Below are 21,000 nucleotides of genomic sequence, written 5' to 3' on the forward strand. Positions count from 1 at the left end.
AAAAAAGGAAGAAAGAAAAAAAGAAAAAATGCTGAGGAGCTGCATCAACACCAGATCTGTCCCACAAAAAATGTTAATTCTTCAACCTAAAAGAAAAGGATGTTAATGACCAGGAAGAAATCATCTGAACATACAACACTAACTGGTAATAGTAGGTACACAGAAAAAAAATAAAATATTATAACTGTTACTATGGTGTACAAACTACTCATATGTAGAAAGATGAAAGATAAAATCATCAAAATAATGACTACAAGAACTTTTCAAGACAGACAGTATAATGATATAAATAGACACAACAAAAAGTTAATGAGGAGACAAAGTTAAAGTGTAGAATTGTTATTAGTTTTCTTTTTGCTTGTTTGTTTATGCATCAGTATTACATTGTCATTACTTTAAAGTAATGGATTATAAGATATTATTTGCAAGCCTCATGGTAACCTAAAATCTAAAAACATACAACAGATACACAAAAAATCAAAAAGCAAGAAATAAAAATATACCAACCAAGAAAATCACCTTCCCTAAAAGGAAGACAGGAAGAAAGAAAAGGCAGAGAAGATCACAAAATAACCAGAAAATATATAACAAAATGGCAGGAATAAGTCCTTACTTGTCAATAACAAAATTGAATGTGAGGGGACTAAACTCCCCAATTAAAAGACACAGAGTGTCAGAATGGATTTTTTTTTTTTAAAAAAAGGATCGAACAACCTCTTGCCTACAAGAAACACGCTTCATGTATACAGACATACATAGACTCAAAATAAAGGGATAGAAAAAGATTTTCCATGCCAATGGAAACCAAAAACAAGCAGGAGTGACTCTACTTATATTAGACAAATTAGGTTTCAAGACAAAAACTATAAAAAGAGAGAAGATCATTATATAATATTAAAGGGGTCAATTCAGTAAAAAGATGTAACAATTGTAAATATATACGCATTCAACGCTGGAGCACCCAGACGTATAAAGCAAACATTGTTGGAGCTAATGAGAGAGACCCCAATACATTAAAACCTCAAGACTTCAACACCCTGCTTTCAGCACTGAACAGATCATCCAGACAGAAAATCAACAAAGAAACATTGGACTTAATCTGCACTATAGAACAAACAGACCTAATAGGTATTTACAGAACACTTCATCCAACAGCTACAGAATACATTTCTCTCCTCAGCATGCGGCTCATCCTCGAGAATAGACCACATGTGGCCAGGTGTGGTGGCTCACGCCGCCTGTAATCCCAGCAGGTTGGGAGGCCAGGGCGGGTGGATCACCTGAGGTCAGGAGTTTGAGACCAACCTGGCCAACATGGTGAAACCCCATCTCTATAAAAAAATACAAAAATTAGCCAGGTGTGGTTGTGGGTGCCTGTAATTCCAGCTACTCAGGAGGCTGAGGCAGGAGAATCACTTGAACCCGGGGGATGGAGGTTGCAGTGAGCTGAGATAGCGCCATAGCACTCCAGCCTGGGCAACAAGAGTAAAACTCGGTCTCAAAAAAAAAAAAAAAAAAAAGTTAGGCCACAAAACAAATCTTAAAACATTCCAAAAAATTGAAATAATATCATGTATCTTTTCTGACCACAATAAAACTAGAAAGCAAAAACAAAAGGAATTTTGGAAACTATACAAACACATGGAAATTAAACAACATGCTCCTGAATGACCAGTGGTCAACGAAGAGATTAAGAAGAAAACTTTAAAATTTCCAGAAACAAAAATAACGGAAACACAACATACCAAAACCTATGCGATACAGGGAAAGCAGTACTGAGAGAGAAGAATGTAGCTAAAAGTGAAGTGCCTACATCAGAAAGGCAAAACTTTAAATACACAACCTAATGATACACCTTAAAGAACTAGAAAAGCAAGAGCAAGCCAAACCCAAAGTTAATAGAAGAAAATAAATAATAAACATCATAGCATAAATAAATGGAATTGAAATGAATACAAAAGATCAACGAAACACAAAGTTGGTTTTTAGAAGTCAAACAAAACTGACAAAATGTTAGCCAGACTAACTTAGATAAAAAGTGACAAGACACAAATAAATAAAATTAGAGATAAAAAGGAGAAATTACAACTGATACGCAGAAATTAAAAGGATCATTAGAGGCTACAATGAGCAACTATATGCCAAAAAACTGGAAGACCTACAAGAAAAGGATAAATTCCTATACACATACAACTTACCAAGATTAAAACATGAAGAAATCCAAAACCTGTGAATAGACCAGTAACATGTAATAAGATTGAAGCTATAATAAAAACTCTCCAAGCAAAGAAAAGCTCAGGACCGATAGTTTCACTGCTGATTTTAACATTTAAAGAAAAACTAATACCAACTCTACTCAAACTAATCCAAAAAGTAGACGTGGAGGGAATACTTCCAAACTCATTCTATGAGACCAATATTACTCTGATACCAAAACTAAACAAAGGCACATCAAAAAAGGAAAACTACAGGCCATTATCTTTGATGAACACTGATGCAAAAATCCTCAACAAAATACTAGTAAACCAAACGCAACAACACATTAAAAAATCATTCATCATGACCAAGGAGTATTTATTCCAGGAATGCAAGAACGGTTCAACATTTGCAAGTCAATCATTGTGATCTATCAAGAGAATGAAGGACAAAAACCATATGACCATTTAAACTGATGCTCAAAAAGCATTTGATAAAAATAAAAACCTCTCATGCTAAAACCCCTCAAAAAATTGAGTATAGAAGGAACATACCTCAACATAATGAAAGCCATATATGATAGACCCACAGCTAGTATCATACTGAAATAGGAAATAGGGAAAAACTGAAAAACTTTCCTTTAATATCTGGAACCTGACAAGGTTGTCCCCTTTCACTACTGTTATTCAACATAGTACTGGAGGTCCAAGCTAGAGCAATCAGACAAGAGAAAGAAACAAAGGACAACCGAATTGGAAAGAAATGAGTAAAACCATCCTTATTTACAGGTGCTATGATCTTATATTTGGAAAAATTTAAGGACTCCACCAAAAAATGATTAGAACTCATAAACAAATTCGGTAAAGTTGCAGGATACAAAATCAATAGACAAAATTCAGTAGCACTTCTATGTGCCAAGAGCAAACAATCTGAAAAAGAAATTATGAAGGTAAACCCAGCACTTTGGGAGGCCAAGGTGGGAGGATCACTTGAGGCCAGGAGCCCGGAGACCAGCCTGGGCAACACAGCAAGACTCTGTCTCTACAAAAAAAATATAAAAAATTAGCCAGGTGGTATGAACCTGTAGTCCTGGCTACTCAGGAGGCTGAGGTGGGAGGATCACTTGAGCCCAGGAGGTTGAGGGTGTAGTGAGCTGTGATCACACTACTGCATTCTAGCCTAGGCAACAGACCCTGCCTCAAAAAAAAAAAAGGATAATTTCTACTTAAGATTTTATTGACATCAGTAGTACTGAGCAAGATGTTAGGATTAAAATCTTGATCCAGTTCTACCACTAACAAGTAACTTAACATGGAGCCTCAATATGTTGCTTAATATCAAGGTATCTCAGATTTTTTTTTTCAATTTGGGATTGCTCTAAGGAGTCTATAAATGTGACTATTCTATCAAAATGTACCACATCATTAGTGCAATTTTAAATATTAAAAGGCTGACATTAAACCAAAAAGCAAATTAAATACAATCTAACATACAAATTATTAAAAAATGTGTAGGGAAGTATATAGCTATGCAAATAACACACTTGGTTAATATCATAATTTTCTAATTGGGACTTTTGTTGTGTGTATATAAGTAAGCTAACAAGCTGCACTTTATTCTTCAACTACAAGTACAGACCTATACCCTTTTAAACTGGATCGTGTACATGGCTGTATTTTAGCCAAAGCATAGACAACATGGAGCATTTTCATCTAATGCTTAGCAGACCTACTCTACCACTGAACCGTAATATAATCTGTCATTTTGTATCTACATGGGTAGCTCCCTATATCTACAGATAACTGAATGCAGACTGTACCCTGAAACTGATTAAAAACATTCAAAAATATTTATTAATGCAAAGTATGTATGACACAGATATAAGTGGAAAAGAACCTTTGTTCTAAGAATTAACAAAGCCAAATAGAAATAAAACATTTAAGAACATTATAGTATACATTTCAGAAAGAAACTAGAGAACGATCTCAAATGTTGCTTATCAACTAATTAATGGGTACGAAGTAGGAATTCCATTTTGGGTTCACTGGGTTCTGTTTTGCTCTAATTTGTAGTACTAAAATTATGTCATGTGTGGACAGGAAAAAAAACACCAAAAATTTAGTATTGTAACATCTATATTGAGTTGAGATATGCAAGCACTTCAACAGTAGGACTTCAACAATAGTCATACATTAACTCCATTACTAGTGGTTCTTGATCTTTAACCTACTTCAGAATAGCCTAGAAGCCTTATTAAACACAGATTGCTGACCCCCATACCTACAGTTTCTGATTCAGTAGGTTTGAGGTGAGACTTTAGAACTGCATTTCTAACAAGTTCCCACGTGATGCTGATGCTGCCGATTTGGTAAGGGACCACGCTTTAAGAATCTTTTCTACAGGTTTCTCAAACATTGAGATTTATGTTGATTCAGATTATATCAGTACCTTCAAAGCAAAGACAGGGTATCTTGGAGAGATTTTAGTTTAGATTCACTAAACTCTCTTTTAAGTTCTCAGTAGAAATTGTGAAGAGAAACTGACTACTATAATAAAACTCAAGGAATTAGAAGTGTAACTACTATTACAGCACAAGGGCTTCTACCAGGAATGGTAGTTGATTCGTTATTTTTAAGTTGGTGGGACAGATGGGTCGACATCTTGGAGTAAGTATAAGCCTAACAGTCATGGGCATCAGTTTGTGTGTCATACAGATGGAAAGCAGAAGGTTCCATAATCCATCTTAAAACACAGCTTAAGAGAGTTTCAACCGTAATGACAAGTGAACAGGTAACTCTTAGATGTCTGCATGGATCAAACCATCTCCAGATCTTCAAAAAGCGTATGAAAACTAAGGAAAACAACAGGGTCACCAAAGAAAATACTAAGATACCTATTACCACTATAAGGTATGGTCAAGTGCTTGCAAGTACATTCAGACATTTTTCACATCATATCACTTATATGCACAATTACAAAAAAAAATAGAGTTAAATAAATGTATTAAGCTTTTATTAGGTTAGAAAAAATTCTAAGATGGTTAGTATATCTTAGTTACAAGTGATGATCTTTTTTCCTTTAGCCTTTTAAAATCAATATATGGAAGACATGCAATGCTAAGTTCTTCTTTTGTACATCCTGTAAGACAACACTTTTCTGAATATCCTCTGCGTTTTCTTTGGGGATGATGCCCCCAAAACAAATTGCTTAAGGTTTTAATTTTGTTTCTACGTTTCTTCTGAAATTTTGCATTCTCATGAATATATACATTGATATTATGTGATGAAGAAAATTCTCTTGTCTTACCAAGGGGTGAATATCCCTTTTTATCCTTATACTCAGGTAGTGACTGCATTTCCCAACTGTTTACTGCTTCTTCCCAAGAAGTAGACACTGTTGAGAGAGAAGAAAATAAATGCTCCTTTATTAAAATCTTCCTTTAGATGAAAATTTAATATTGGAACAGTAAAATCAGCTAATTATTAAAAAACAAGTAATCACATTTTAAATAAAGAATGGAAAGTATGGTTATTCAAAAGCAATATTTAACTAAAGTAGGTGTAGTGTTTTCCTATTAAAAGGCTGTACGCCTTTGTACATTTTTGTATTAACAATTTGAGATATCATTCACATGCTATAAAATTAGTCATTTTAAAGAATACAATTCAGTGGGTCTTAGTATATTCGCAGGGTTGTGAAACTATAAATCTAACTCCAGAACATCTGTATCCAAAAAGAAACCTATGCCCATTAGCAGTCATTTCCATTTCCCTCTCCCACTATCCCCTAGCAATCACCAATCTACTTTCTGTTTCTATGGATTTGCCTATTCCGTATATTTCATATAAATGAAAGCATACAATACATGACCTTTTGTGTCTGGTTTCTTTCACTTAGCATGATGTTTTCAAGGTTCACCTACATTGTAGCATGTATCTTTTTATGGCTGAATAGTTTTCCAATGTGTGGATATTCCACATTTTGTTTATCCATTTATCAATTGATGGACATTTGAGTGGTTTCCACTTTTTGGTCATTATGAATAGTGCTGATGGCCCAGCATAGTGGCTCACGCCTGTAATCCCAGCACTCTGGGAGGCCGAGGCGGGCGGATCACTTGAGGTCAGGAGTTCAATACCAGCTTCGCCAACATGGCGAAACCCTGTCTCTACTAAAAACACACAAAAAATTAGCCAGGCATGGTGGTGCACGCCTGTAATACCAGCTACTTGGGATGCTGAGGCATGAGAATCACTTGAACACGGGAGGAAGAAGTTGCAGTGAGCCGAGATAGTGCCACTGCACTCCGGTCTAGGTGACAGAGCAAGACTCCATCTCAAAAAACAAAAAAAAAGAATAGTGCTGCTATGAGCATTCACACACAAGTTTTTGTGTGAACATATGTTTTGAATTCTTTGGGATGTAACCTAGGGATGGAACACTGCATGATATAAATTTGTTTGATGTTTTGAGGAACTGCCAAACTTTTCCACAGTGGCTGTACAATTTTTCAATCCCAGCATCGGTACAGTAGAGTTCCAATTTTCCCACATCCCCATCAAAACTTGACATTTTCCATTTTTTGATTATCACCATGGATGCACAGTGGTAGCTCACTATATTTTTGATTCGCATTTACCTCATGGCTAATGATGTTAAGCATTTTTTCATATGCTTATTATATATCCTCTTTGAAGAAATGTCTCTTCAAATCCTTTGCCCATTTTCAAATTTGATAATTTGTCTTCTTATGCACATCTTACAACTGAGCAGTAGAAACCATTTTGTTCTTTATTAAAATATAAAGAAATAGAGAAGTGGTAATATGCTCTAGGTACAATGAACTGATTGTCACTGTTATGCTGCTCTTAACTCACTTAGCAATACTGGATACTGGAAACCAAAATAACTCCAGAAGGTAATTATTTGAAGACTTATTGTACTTCCATTATGGCCCTTGCTCATCTACAGTACCTTCTAGGAGGATATATTTGCCAATAGTCTCTACTGTAGAGCCAGCTCTTAGGCAGCCATGTTCTGAACCATGTGACTCCACCCTCTAGCCACAGTGGAACAAACTGGAAGTTGGCACCTGACCCAAAAGAAACCAATCTGTCACAATGGCTAGCAATCCACGTCATGTGAAAAACATGAATCGACCCAATCAGATTTCCTCAGTTTGAAACTAGAACTAAGAAGTAACGAGAAAAAGATGAGTTAGTGAGAACCAAAGCTAGAAGGATTCTATGAGGTTTGTCATGACAAGCTAAAGTCATAAAGGAACATAAACACACGGAAAAGATTCACAGAGAGAGAGGAAGGCAGAAGATTTTTGTTTTTGTTTTTGTTTTGTTTTTTTAAGAGGTAATATGATTTCTTAGGCTTTACAAAGTCTTTCTAGGTCCACTTCTATACCTTGTTTGTTTTTATAATAACTACTATCCCCTTTTATCTTGAGGTTATTTAGGTGAATCTATATTCTTTGCAGTTAGAGGCCTATTAGAGCACTCTTTAATAACTTTTTATTTAATTAAAAAGTTGCTTGTTTAAAAGAATAAGATAGAACTCTATCCAGACTAATCAGGAACAAAAAAGATGGAAATGAACAAAATACAGCAGAAAAAAAGAAATAAGTAAATACAGCCAAGTTTTAAAATAAATATTATGAATGCTTACACATTTAAAAATAAAGATTAAATGGATGAATTCCTAGAAAAATACAAGATGCCTTAACTGGTACACAATGACACAGAAAACCTAAGTGTACCAACAATATTCAAAGAAATGAAAAGGGTAGTCAGAGTTATCACCTTCAAAAAAACACAGATATGGGTGGTTCCACTTATTTTTAAAAAACAGTAAATTCTAATAATATACAAGTTGTTCCAGAAAACGAGCAAAAGCTGCCCAGCTCATTTTATGAAGCTGGCATAATCTTTATTCCAAAACTAGGTAAGAACAATATGAGATTTTAAAATATTTAAAAACTCATTTGACTTTCAAATGTTGATTTCAAACTCCTAAATATTAGTTAACTGAATCCATAAACACGTTTTACAAATACATTAAGAAACGGTTCGGGGAAGCAGCCAAGATGGCTGAATAGAAACACCTTTGCTCTGCAGCTCCCACCGAAAAGGACAAAAATGGCAAGTGGATTCTGCATCTTCAATTGAGTTACCAATGTTCTCTCATTGGGACTGACTAGGAGGTTGGCGTGACTCAGAGAGAGCAAGGAAAAGCACAGTGGAGCTAGGGCCCACCTGGGAGCCAGCCACACAGGGCAAAGGGAGCTCCCTTCCCCAGCCAAGGGAGGCAGTGAGGGATTGTGCTACCCCTCCCTGAAAACCATGCTTTTACCATGAATCCTTGCAACCTGGGGATCAGGAGGTCCCCTCATGAGCCCATGCCACCAGGGCCTTGGGTTCCAAGCATTAAGCTATGCAGACTGATGGTGGCTGCTGAGGTGGGTGGCACTTGAGCAGGCACTGAGACCACGAGTTCCTGGGGGGAAGAGGCAGCTGCCATTACTGTGTCTTCAGTCCACCGTTTTCCCCTACCATGATGCCAGTGCAGTTTGGATGGGGAGCAATTCCCCCACAGCACAGCACAGCGGCTGGGACAGTTTGTGGCCAGACTGCTTCTTTAGGTGGGACTCCAATCCATTCCCCCTCACGGAGCAGGGCCTCCCTGTGGGAATTTTCACATCCCCAGTGGAGGGTTTATGGATAGAACTCTGATATCCCTGAGAAGAGGCTCTAGGAGGAGGGTTGGCCACGCTATCGTGGATCAGCCATTTTAGTCTTTCCTGCCTACTGGCTCTGGAGAGGGAGATTTCTGCCAGCACAACACACCTGCTCTACCAAGGGGCAGCCAGACTGCTTATTTAAGTGGGTCCCTGATCCTATTCCTCCAAACTGGGTGAGACCTCCCAACAGGAGTGTTCTGCTGGCATCAGGTTAGCACCCCTCTGGGACAAAGTTCTCAGAGGAAGGAGCAGCCTGCCATCTTTGCTGGTCTGCAGCCTCCACGGTGATACCTCCTGGGGTGGAAGAAACCAAGGTGAATAAAGTCTGGAATGGACTCCCAGCAAACTGCAGCAACCCTATGGAAGAGTGGCCCTACTGCTAAAATAAAAACAAACAGGGAGCAACAACAACAACATAAACAAGAAAGACTTCACAAAAACCCCATCCAAAGGTCATTGGCCTCAAAGATCAAAGGTTGATAAACCCATGAAGATGAGAAATAATCAGTGCAAAAACGTTGGGAACTCAAAAAGCAAGAGTGCCTCTTCTCCAAATGATCGTAACATGACTCCATGAAGGGCACAGAACCGGGCTGAGTCAGAGATAGATAAATTGACAGAAGTAAGCTTCAAAAGATGGATAATAACAAACATCCCTGAGCTAAAGGAGTATGTTCAAACTTGTTGCAAAGAAGCTAAGAACCATAATAAAACATTACAGGAGCTGTTAACAAGAATAACCAGTTTAGAGAGGAAGACAAGTAACCTGATGGAGCTGAAAAACACAACACGTGAACTTCACGATGCAAACACAAGTTTGAAGTTTGTAGCTGAATAGACCAAGTGGAAGAAAAAATATCAGAGCTTGAAGACTATCTTGCTGAAATAAGGCAGGCAGACAAGATTAGAGAAAAAAGAATGAAAAGGAATGAATAAAACCTCCGAGAACTATGGGATTATCTTACAAGACTGAACCTATGACTAATAGGGGCACCTGAACAAGACGGGGAGAACAGAAACAAGTTGGAAAACACACTACAGTATATCATCCAGGAGAATTTCCCCAAATTAGCAAGACAGGCCAAAATTCAAATTCAGGAAATCCAGAGAACCCCAATAAGATACTTCATGAGAAGATCAGCCCAATGACATATAATCATCAGTTCTCCAAGGTCAAAATGAAGGAATGTTAAGTGCAGCCAGAGAAAGGTCGAGTCACCTATAAAGGGAAGCCCATCACACTAACAGCAGGCCTCTCAGTGGAAACCCTACAAGCCAGAAGAGACGGGCGGCCAATATTTATTTGATTTTTTTTTTTTTTTGAGATGGAGTTTCACTCTTGTCACCCAGGCTGGAGTACAATGGCATCATCTCGGCTCACTGCAACCTCGGCCTCCAGGGTTCAAGTGGTTCTCCTTCCTCACCCTTCCCAAGTCCCTGGGATTAGAGGCATGCGCCACCATGCCCGGCTAATTTTGTATTTTTAGTAAAGACAGGGTTTTGCCATGTTGGCCAGGCTGATCTCAAACTCCTGACCTCAGGTGATCCACCTGCCTTGGCCTCCCAAAGTGCTGGGATTACAGGCATGAGCCACTGCACCCAGCAGATATTCTTAAATAATTTCTAACCTATAATACTGTATCTGGCCAAACTAAGCTTTATAAGCAAAGAAGAAATAAAGGATTTTCCAAACAAGCAAATTCTGAGGGAATTCATCACCACCAGACCTGCCTTGCAAGAGCTCCTGAAGGAAGCAGTAAATATGGAAAGGAAAAACCATTATCAGCCACTACAAAAACACACCAAAGTACACAGACCAGTGACACTATGAAGCAACTACATAAACAAGTCTGCAAAATAACCAGCCAGCATCATGATGACAGGATCAAATTCACACATAACAATATTAACCTTAAATGTAAATGGGCTAATCCCCAATTAAAAGACACAAAGGGCAAGCTGGATAAACAGTCATGATCCATTGGTGTGCTGAATTCAAGAGACTCATCTCACATGCAAAGACACACATAGACTCAAAATAAAGTATGGAGGAAAATTTACCAAGCAAATGGAAAACAGAAAACAGCAAGGGTTGCAATCCTAGTTTCTGACAAAACAGACTTTAAACCAACGAAGATAAAAAAGACAAGAGCGTTACATAATGGTAAACAGGTCAATTCAATAAGAAGAGCTTACTATCCTAAATATATATGCACCCAATACAGGAGCACCCAGATTCATAAAACAAGTTCTTAGAGACCTACGAAGAGACTTAAGACTCCCACACAATAATAGTGGGAGACTTTAACACTCCACTGTCAACATGAGACTGATTGTTGAGACAGAAAATTAACAAAGATATTTAGGACTTGAATTCAACTCTGGATCAAATGGACCTGATAGATATCTACAGAACTCTCCAACCCCAAACAACAGATATAGATTCTTCTTGGCACCACGTGGCACATCACATAATTGGAAGTAAAACACTCCTCAGCAAATGCAAAAGAACTGAAATCATAACAAACAGTCTCTAAGACCACAGCACAATCAAACTAGAACTCAAGATTAAGAAACTCACTCAAAACCACATAAGTACATGGAAATTCAACAACCTGTTCCTGAGTGACTCCTGGGTAAATGATAAAATTAAGGCAGAAATCAAGAAGTTCTTTGAAATCAATGAGAACAAAGAAACAACGTATCAGAATCTCTGGGACATAGCTAAAGCAGTCTTAACAGGAAACTTTATAGCGCTAAATGCCCATATCAAAAAGGTAGATCTCAAATCAACACCCTAACGTCACAACCAAAAGAAGTAGAGAACCAAGAGCAAACAAACCCCAAAACTAGAGAAGAAATAACCAAGCTTAGAGCAGAACTGAAGGAGACCAGAGACACGAAAAACCCTTCAAACAATCAATGAATCCAGGGGCTTTTTTTTTTTTTGGAAAAACTAATAAAATAGACCACTAGGTAGGCTAATAAAGAAATGAAAGAAGAATCAAATAGACACAATAAAAAGGATAAAGGGGATATCACCACTGACCCCACAGAAATACAAACAACCATCAGATAATACTATAAACACCTCTATACCAATAAACCGGAAAATCTAGACACAATGGATAAATTCCTGAACACATACACCCCCACAAGACTAAACCAGGAAGAAGTTGAATCCCTGAATAGACTAATAACAAGTTCTGAAATTGAGGCAGTAATAAATAGTCTACCAACCAAAAAAAGCCCAGGACCAGATGGATTCACAGCTGAATTCTACCAAAAGTACAAAGAGGAGCTGATATTCTTTCTTCTGAAACTATTCCAAACAATCAAAAAGGAGGAACTCCTCCCTAACTCATTCTATGAGGCCAGCATCATCCTGATACCAAAACCTGACAGATACAACAACAAAAAAACTTCAGGCCAATATTCCTGAAGTACACCAATGTAAAAATCCTCAATAAAATACTGGCAAACCAAATACAGCAGCACATCAAAAAGCTTATCTGCCACGATCAAGTTGGCTTCATGTCCAGGGTGCAAGGGTGGTTCAAAATATACAAAATCAATAAATGTAATTAATCACATAAACATATCTAAAGACAAAAACCACAAGATTATTTCAATAGATGCAGAAAAGATCTTCCATAAAATTCAACATCCCTTCATGTTAAAAACTCTCAATAAATCAGGTGTTGATGGAGCATACCTCAAAATAATAGCCATTTATGACAAACCCACGGCCAAATATCATACTGAATGGGTAAAGCTGGATTCATTCCCTTGAAAACTGGCCCAAGTTAAGGATGCCCTCTCATCACTCCTATTCAACATAGTATCTGAAGTCCTGGCCAAGGCAATCGGGCAAGAGAAAGAAATAAAGGGTATTCAAATAGGAAGAGAGGAAGCCAAATTGTCTTTGTTTGCAGATGACATGCAAACATAGACACCCCATCTAGAACACACCATCATCTCTGCTCAAAAGCTTCTTAAGCTGATAAGCAAATTCAGCAAAGTCTCAAGATACAAAATCAACGTGCAAAGGTCACACACATTCCTGTATACCAAGAACAAGAAAGCAGAGAGCTGAATTATGAATGAACTCCTATTCACAATTGCTACAAAGAGAATATACCTATGAATACAGTTAGCGAGGAACATGAAGGACCTCTTCAAGGAGAACTACAAACCACTGCTCAAGGAAATAAGGGAGAACACAAACAAAAAAAAATTCCATGTTCATGGATAGGAAGAATCAATATCGTGAAAATGGCCATCCTGCCCAAAGTAATTTATAGTTTCAATGCTATTCCCATCTAACTACCATCGACATTCTTCACAGAACTAGAAGAAACTATTTAAAAAGTCGTATGGAACCAAAAGAGCTCAAACAGCCAAGACAATCCTAAGCAAAAAGAACAAAGCTGAAGGGAGGCATCACACTACTGGACTTCAAACTATACTACAAGGGTACAGTAACCAAAACAGCATGGTACTGTTACAAAAACAGACACCTAAACCAATAGAATTTCTGTTCCAGAACTCAGAAATAAGACCGCACATCTATGACCATCTGATCTTGGACAAACGTGACAAAAAATAGCAATGGGCAAAGGATCCGCTATTTAATAAATGGTGCTGGGAGAACTGGACCACTTCCCTACACCTTATAGAAAAATTAACTCAAGCTGAATTAAAGACTTAACTGTAAAACCAAAACTATAAAAACCCTAGAAGAAGATCTAGGCAATGCTATTCACAACATAGGTATGGGCAAAGATTTCAGGACAAAATCACCAAAAGCAATTGCAACAAAAGCCCAAATTGACAAATAAGATCTAATTAAACTAAAGAACTTCTGCACAGCAAAAGAAACTACCATCAGAGTGAACAGACAACCTACAGAGTGGGAGGAAATTTTTGCAATCTATCCATTTAACGAAGGTCTAATATCCAGAATCTACAAGGAACTTAAACAAATTTACAAGAAAAAACAAACAATCCGCTTAAAGAGTGGCCAGGCCAGGTGCAGTGGCTCACGCCTGTAATCCCAGCACTTTGGGAGGCCGAGGTGGGCAGATACCTGAGGTCAGGAATTCGAGACCAGTCTGGCCAATGTAGTGAAACCCTGCCTCTTCTAAAAGTACAAAAATTAGCTGGGCGTGGTGGTGTGTGCCTGTAGTCCCAGGTACTCGAGAGGCTGAGGCAGGAGAATTGCTTGAACCCAGGAGGCAGAGGCTGCAGTGAGCCGAGATCATGCCATTGCACTCTAGCCTGGGTGACAAAGCAAGACTCCACCTCAAAAGAAAAAAAAAAAGAGTGGGCAAAGGACATGAAAAGACATTTCTTAAAAGAAGGCATTCATGCAGCCAACAGACATTTGAAAAAAAAGCTCAACATCAATGATCATTAGAGAAATGCAAATCAAAATTACAATGAGATACTATCTCACGACAGTCAGAATAGCAATTATTACAAAGTCAAGAAACAACAGATGCTTTTGAGGTTGCAGAGAAATAGGAACTAATTCCTACTGTTGGTGGGAATGTAAATTAGTTCAACCATTGTGGAAGACAGTGTGGTGATTCCTCAAAGATCTAGAACCAGAAATACCATTTGACCCAGCAATACCATTATTGGGTATATACCCAAAGGAATATAAATCATTCTATTACAAAGATGCATATGTTCATTGCAGCACTATTCACAATAGCAAAGACATGAATTCAACCCAAATGCCCATCAATAAGAGACTGGATATAGAAAATGTGGCACATATACACCATGGAATACTATGTAGCCATAAAAAGGAATGAGATCATGTCCTTTGCAGGGAAATGGATGGAGCTGGAAGCCATTATCCTCAGCAAACTAAGGCAGGAAGAGAAAACCAAACACAGCAAGTTCTCCCTTATAAGTGGGAGCTGAACAATGAGATCACGTGAACATGGGGAAGCAAAAAACACACAATGGGGCCTGTCAGAGGGTGGGGTTGGGGGAGGGCCAGCATCAGGAAAAATAGCTAATGCATGCTGAGCTTAATGCCTAGGTGATGGGTTGACAGGCACAGCAAACCACCATGGCACACGTTTACCTATGTAATGAACTTGCACATCTCGCTCATGTACTGCTGAATTTAAAAATAAAATTAAAAAAAAAAAAAGAATGAAAGGGTTCATCCCAGAAACACGAGGACAGGTCAAGATCACAAAACCTATCAACTTAGTTTACCATGTTAATAGACACCCATCCTCAATCACAGCTGGATTTGCTTTCTACTTCAGGAGAAAATTGATGCAATCTGAAAAAGAACTTGCATCGACTCCCTTTGCCAAATTTTTAAATTCATCTCTTAACAGGTACACCCATATACTCTCCCTTTCTACCTATTTCTACAGATGAACTATACACTCTAAAGCCAATTTCTGCACTTACGTATTACATCTCTCCTCTTGCCTACCCTAGGACACTACTCCAGCAATCCTTCTCCGCATTCTTCATCAGTTTTTAACTTCTATTGAATCACTCTTACCAGAAAACTTATTTCTCCCACTTATAAAAACACACACACAAACCCAAACACATTTCTCTTGGCCCCACTTACCATGCCAGCTACCATCGTATCTATTTTCTCTTTTCTGTAACAAAACTCCTTGATAGAGTTTTCTATATTTACTAATTTGTTCCTCTTCTCTCACTGTCTTAAACCCACTCTAATCAGACTTTCATTTCATCACTCTACCAAAACTTCTCTTATGAAGGTCACAAACATATTGCTAAATTCAACAGCCATTCACATCTTAATTGATTTATGAAATACACCTCTTCCTGACATACTTTCATCATTTGGTTTCCACGATATCACACTCTCTTTTCTTCCAACCTAAGTAGTTGTCCCTTTTCTGTTTCCTTTACAAGTTCTCACTCCCCAACTTATTATTGTTGGTGTTTCTGAGGACTCAGTTCTTAGTACTATTTTCTATGTACACTTACTCTTCTGGTGATCTCCTCTAGTCTTACAGCTCAAAAAATTATTTATCTACCTACGACTTCTGAACTTCTATCTGCAAACAAGATGACTCTTTCAAACTCCAGATTTATATACCTTACTTCCTACTCAACAAGTCCACATTAATGTTTCAAACTCAACATTGTCTAAAACTCCACAAAATTCAACATGTCCAAAACTGAACTACTGATACCGTCTTCCAAACCTGTTCCACTTCGAGGCCTTTCCTATCTCATTTATGACAATCCCATCCTTCTAGGTGTTCCACATACAAAACTTCAGAATTAACAATGTTTTGGAGTCATTCTTTTTTTTTTTTTTTGAGACAGAGTCTCGCTCTGGCGCCCAGGCTGGAGTGCCGTGGCGTTATCTCGGCTCACTGCAAGCTCTGCCTCCCGGGTTCACACCATTCTCCTGCCTCAGTCTCCCGAGTAGCTGGGACTACAGGTGCCCACCACCACGCCCAGCAAATTTTTTGTGTTTTTTAGTAGAGATGGGGTTTCAACGTGTTAGCCAGGATGGTCTCGATCTCCTGACCTCATGATCCACCTGCCTCGGCCTCCCAAAGTGCTGGGATTACAGGCATGAGCCACCGCGTCTGGCCATGGAGTCATTCTTGATTTCTCTTCCTCATATCTCACATCAAATATGGCCCGTGTATAACTAGAATTTAACAGTTTTCACTATCTTCACTTCTATCATCCTCATCTAAGACCCTCCCTAACAGGTCTCTCTGTTTCTACTCTTGCCTTTCTACAGTCTATTCTCAACACAGTAGCCAGAGTGATCCATTTAAAATGTCAATTATGTCACTTCTCTGCTCAAAAATCTTAATGACTCCTTGCATCACCCCAAAACAAAGTCTTTAAAATGATCTAAAACAGGGGGTCCCCAACCACTGGGGACTTAACTGGTCTATGGCCTGTTAGGAACCAGGCCACATGGCAGGAGGTAAGCAGTGGGCAGGCGAGCGAGCAAAGCTTCATCTATATTTACAGCTGCTCCCCATTGCTCGCATTATCACCTGAGCTCTACCTCCTGTCAGATCAGGGACAGCATTAGATTCTTATAGGAGTGTGAACCCTATTGTGAACTGCGCATGCCAGGGATCTAGGTTGCACGCTCCTTATGAGAATCTAATGCCTGATTATCTATCACTGTCTCCCATCACCCCCAGATGGGACCATCTGGTTTCAGGAAAACAAGCTCAGGGCTCCCACTGATTCTACATTATGGTAAATTGTATAATTATTTCATTAAACATTACCATGTAATAGTAATAGAAATAAAGTTCACAATAAACGTAATGCGCTTGGATCATCTGAAAATCATTCCCCTCCCTGGTCCAAGGAAAAATTGTCTTCCATGAAACTGGTCCCTGGTACCAAAAAGGTTGGGGATTACTGGCCTAAAATACCCTATTTTATCATGTCTGCCTATTACCTCTCCTACCTTATCTTCTACTACTTTCCTCATTTTCTCTGCTCCAACCACATTTGGACTCTTTGCTACTCCCTGTATACATCAGGCAGAAGGGCCTCTGCTCCACTATTTCCTCTGCATAAATGCCCTTTCTCCACATATCCACTTGGATAATTCCCTTACCACTTCTTTTTAAATCTCACCTTTTCAATAATTGGTCTACCCTTACCACACTGTTTAATACTATACCCCACCTTTCAACTCCTTGCTCTGTTTATCTCCCTTATCCTGTTTCATTTTTCATTTTTCTGTAGCTCTTACTACTTTCAAATATTTACTTAATAAAGCTCCATAAAGCCTTTGATCTTTGTCTGTTTTGTCCACTGACATATTCCCAAGATTCTAAAATTGTGCCTGGATGCTTAGTAGGTACCCAATGAGTATTTGCTTAATAAAAGAAAAAATCATAAGACTAAGCAAAAGTATGCGAAAAGAAGACCTTAATAAAGTTCAGCCCTATTTACGATGATTAAAAAAAAATCTCTTAGCAAGCTTCCTTACCTTAATGAAGATTATATAGCATAAACCTACAAACATCATACCTAATGGAGATATTTAAATGCGTGCCCTTTAAGCCTGGGAACAAAACAAGAAATCAAAGCAAAAAAAAAAAAAATGGTATAAGTTTAGCAAGAAAGTGATATAACTATCATTTTCAAGTGATAAAAAACCTATAGAATCAACAAACTATTAGAACTATGAAGATAGTTCAGCATGGTTGCTGGATAAAGATCAACCTATAAAAATAAGTTGCATTTCTCTAGCCAAGTCACTAACTAGTAAATATAATTCACAGGTATTTACAATAGCTAAAGAAAAAAAAGTATTAAGCATGAAATTAACCAATGATACTGTAAAAGTTTCCATAAAGAAAACTTTAAAATCATAAGAATAGAATATAAGTAATTTCATGACTTTGATTAGGATGACTTTATGTAATAAAGAGGTCAATGGGGTCGGGGGGAGTTGGGTGCACAAGATGGCCAATTAGATGCAGCTGTGATCCATGGCGCTCAGGGAGAGGAATAAAAGAGTGAATTCAGCACCTTCAACTGAAATATCCAGGTTCTCACATTGGGACTGACTAGGCAAACAACTTGATCCAGAGAGAAAGAAGAAATGCAGGGTGGAGCAATGAATGGCCTACCAAGGAACAGCAGGGAGCCAAAGGAAACTCACCCTCAGCCAAGGAAAGTGGTGAGTGATTGTGCCACCCCGCCCGGGAAATCACATTTCTCCCAGAGATCTCTGAAACCCAGATCAGGAAATCCCATCTTTGATCCCAGATCTTTGCAGATCAGGAGATCCCATTGTGAGCCCATGCCACTAGGGCCTTGGGTTCGACACACAGAGCTGTGTGGAGTCTCAGCAGAGCAAACGCTCAGGCACACAATGAGGCCCAGGAGTTTTACAGATTCTGGCCCTGGGATCCTGGCAAGGCAGAAGATATGACAGTGCATATCCCAAGGAAGGGGGCTGAATCCAGGGAGCCAAGCAGTTGTTCTGCACGTCCCACTTCCACAGCACCTCACAAATTAAGACCTGATTTGGAATTCCAGCCACCCAAAGCAAAAGCTGGAGTCCACCTGAAACGGGACAGAGTTCCTGGGAGGAGGGGCAGCCGCCATCTCTGGGAAAGGTCAACTCAGCTGTTCCAGCCTCCCAGCTTTGGAGAATCCAAACAGTCCAGAGGAGGAAGGTACCCCACAACACAGCACAGCTGCTGTGCCAGACTGTGGCCAGACTGCTTCTTTCTTTTTCTTCTTTTTCTTTTTTGAGTTGGAGTCTCGCTCTGTCACCCAGGCTGGAGTACAGTGGCGTGATCTTGGCTCACTGTAACCTCCACCTCCCAGGTTCAAGCGATTCTCCCGCCTCAGCCTCCCAAGTAGCTGGGATTACAGGCACATGCCACCATGCCTAGCTAATTTTTGTATTTTTAGTAGAGACAGGGTTTGCCATGTTGCCCAAGCTGGTCTTGAACTCCTGATGTCAAGTGATCCACCCGCCTTGGCCTCCCAAAGTGCCAGGATTCCAGGCATGAGCCACCACGCTCAGACTGCTGCTTTAAGTGGGACCCCAATCCATTCCTCCTCCCTGGGTGAGACCTCCTTGTAGGGGCTTCAGCCACTCCAGCCAGGGTTACAGGGACAGAGCTGTGATCTCTCCCTAGGACTGAGCTCCTAGGGAGGAGGGGCTGCCGCCATCTCCACGGTTCCCTTTACTCAGCTGTTCCAGCTTGCTGGTTGGCATGAGAAAGGGTTCCCCAGAAGGCAGTACAGCTGCTTTGGCAGATTGTGGCCAGACTGCTTCTTTAAGCAGGACACTGATCCATTACTCTTCACTGGGCAGGACCTCCATGTGGAGGCTTCAGCCACTCCAGCCAGAGTTATACAGACAGAGCTCTGATCTCACTCTGGAACAAAGTTCCTGTGGGGAGGGGCAGCCACCATCTCTGTGGTTTCCTACATCACACTACCCAACTTCAAACTATACTACAAGGCTACAGTAACCACAACAGCTTGGTACTGGTACAAGAACAGATACATAGACCAATGGAACAGAATAGAGAACTCAAATAAAACCACACACCACACACCTACAACCATACGATCTTGGACAAACCTGACAAAAACAAGCAATGAGGGAAGAATTCTCTATTTATTAAATGGTGCTGGAAGAATTGGCTAGCTGTAGGCTCAAAATTGAAACTGGACCCCTTCCTTACACTCTACACAAAAATTAACTCAAGATGGATTAAAGACTTATGTAAAACCCAAAACCATAAAAACCTTAGAAGAAAATCTAGGCAATAGCATTCAAGACACAGGCACAGGCAAATATTTCAAAACAAAAACACCAAAAGCAATTGCAACAAAATCAAAAACTGACAAACGGGATTTAATTAAACTAAAGGGCTTCTGCACAGCAAAAAAAAAAAAAAATCATGAGAGTGAACAGACAACCTACAGAATGGGAGAAAATTTCTGCAATCTATCCATCTGACAAAGCTCTAATATCCAGCATCTATAAGTAACTTAAACAAATTTACAAGAAAAAAACAACCCCATTAAAAAGTGGGCAAAAGACATGAACAGAGAGTTCTCAAAAGAAGACATATATGTGGCCAACAAACAAAAAATAGCTCAACATCACTGATCATTAGAGAAATGCAAATCAAGATTACAATGAGATACCATCTCATGCCAGTCAGAATGGCTATTATTAAAGCTAAAAAACAACAGATGCTGGCAAGGTTGTGGAGAAAAAGGAACACTTTTACACTGTTGGTAGGGTTCAACCATTGTGGAAGACAGTGTGGTGATTTCTCAAAGACCTAGAGGCAGAAATACCATTTGACCCAGCAATCCATTACTGGGTGTATACCCAAAGGAATGTAAATCATTCTGTTATAAAGATACATGCAAGCATATGTTCATTGCAGCACTATTCACAATAGCAAAGACATGGAATCAACCTAAATGCCCACCAATGATAAACTGGATATAGAAAACTTGCTACACATACACCATGGAATACTATGCAGCTATAAAAAAGAATG

General features: G+C 39.0%; 1 protein-coding gene across 2 annotated transcripts in view; it reads right to left on the minus strand.

The window, feature by feature from the left end:
* INSL6 (insulin like 6) overlaps positions 1–21,000 on the minus strand; it is a 193,664-nt gene that overhangs the window by 166,701 nt on the left and 5,963 nt on the right. The window contains exon 2 of one of the 2 annotated variants that reach the window (XM_011517702.4): positions 5,503–5,589. In XM_011517702.4, the coding sequence (XP_011516004.1) occupies positions 5,503–5,589 (87 nt within the window). Of the gene's footprint in view, positions 1–5,191; positions 5,590–21,000 lie in introns of those variants that run through there. The other variant, NM_007179.3, reaches the window with a different exon arrangement.

This window comes from Homo sapiens, chromosome 9, assembly GCF_000001405.40.
Source record: "Homo sapiens chromosome 9, GRCh38.p14 Primary Assembly".
Taxonomy (NCBI): Eukaryota; Metazoa; Chordata; class Mammalia; order Primates; family Hominidae; genus Homo; species Homo sapiens.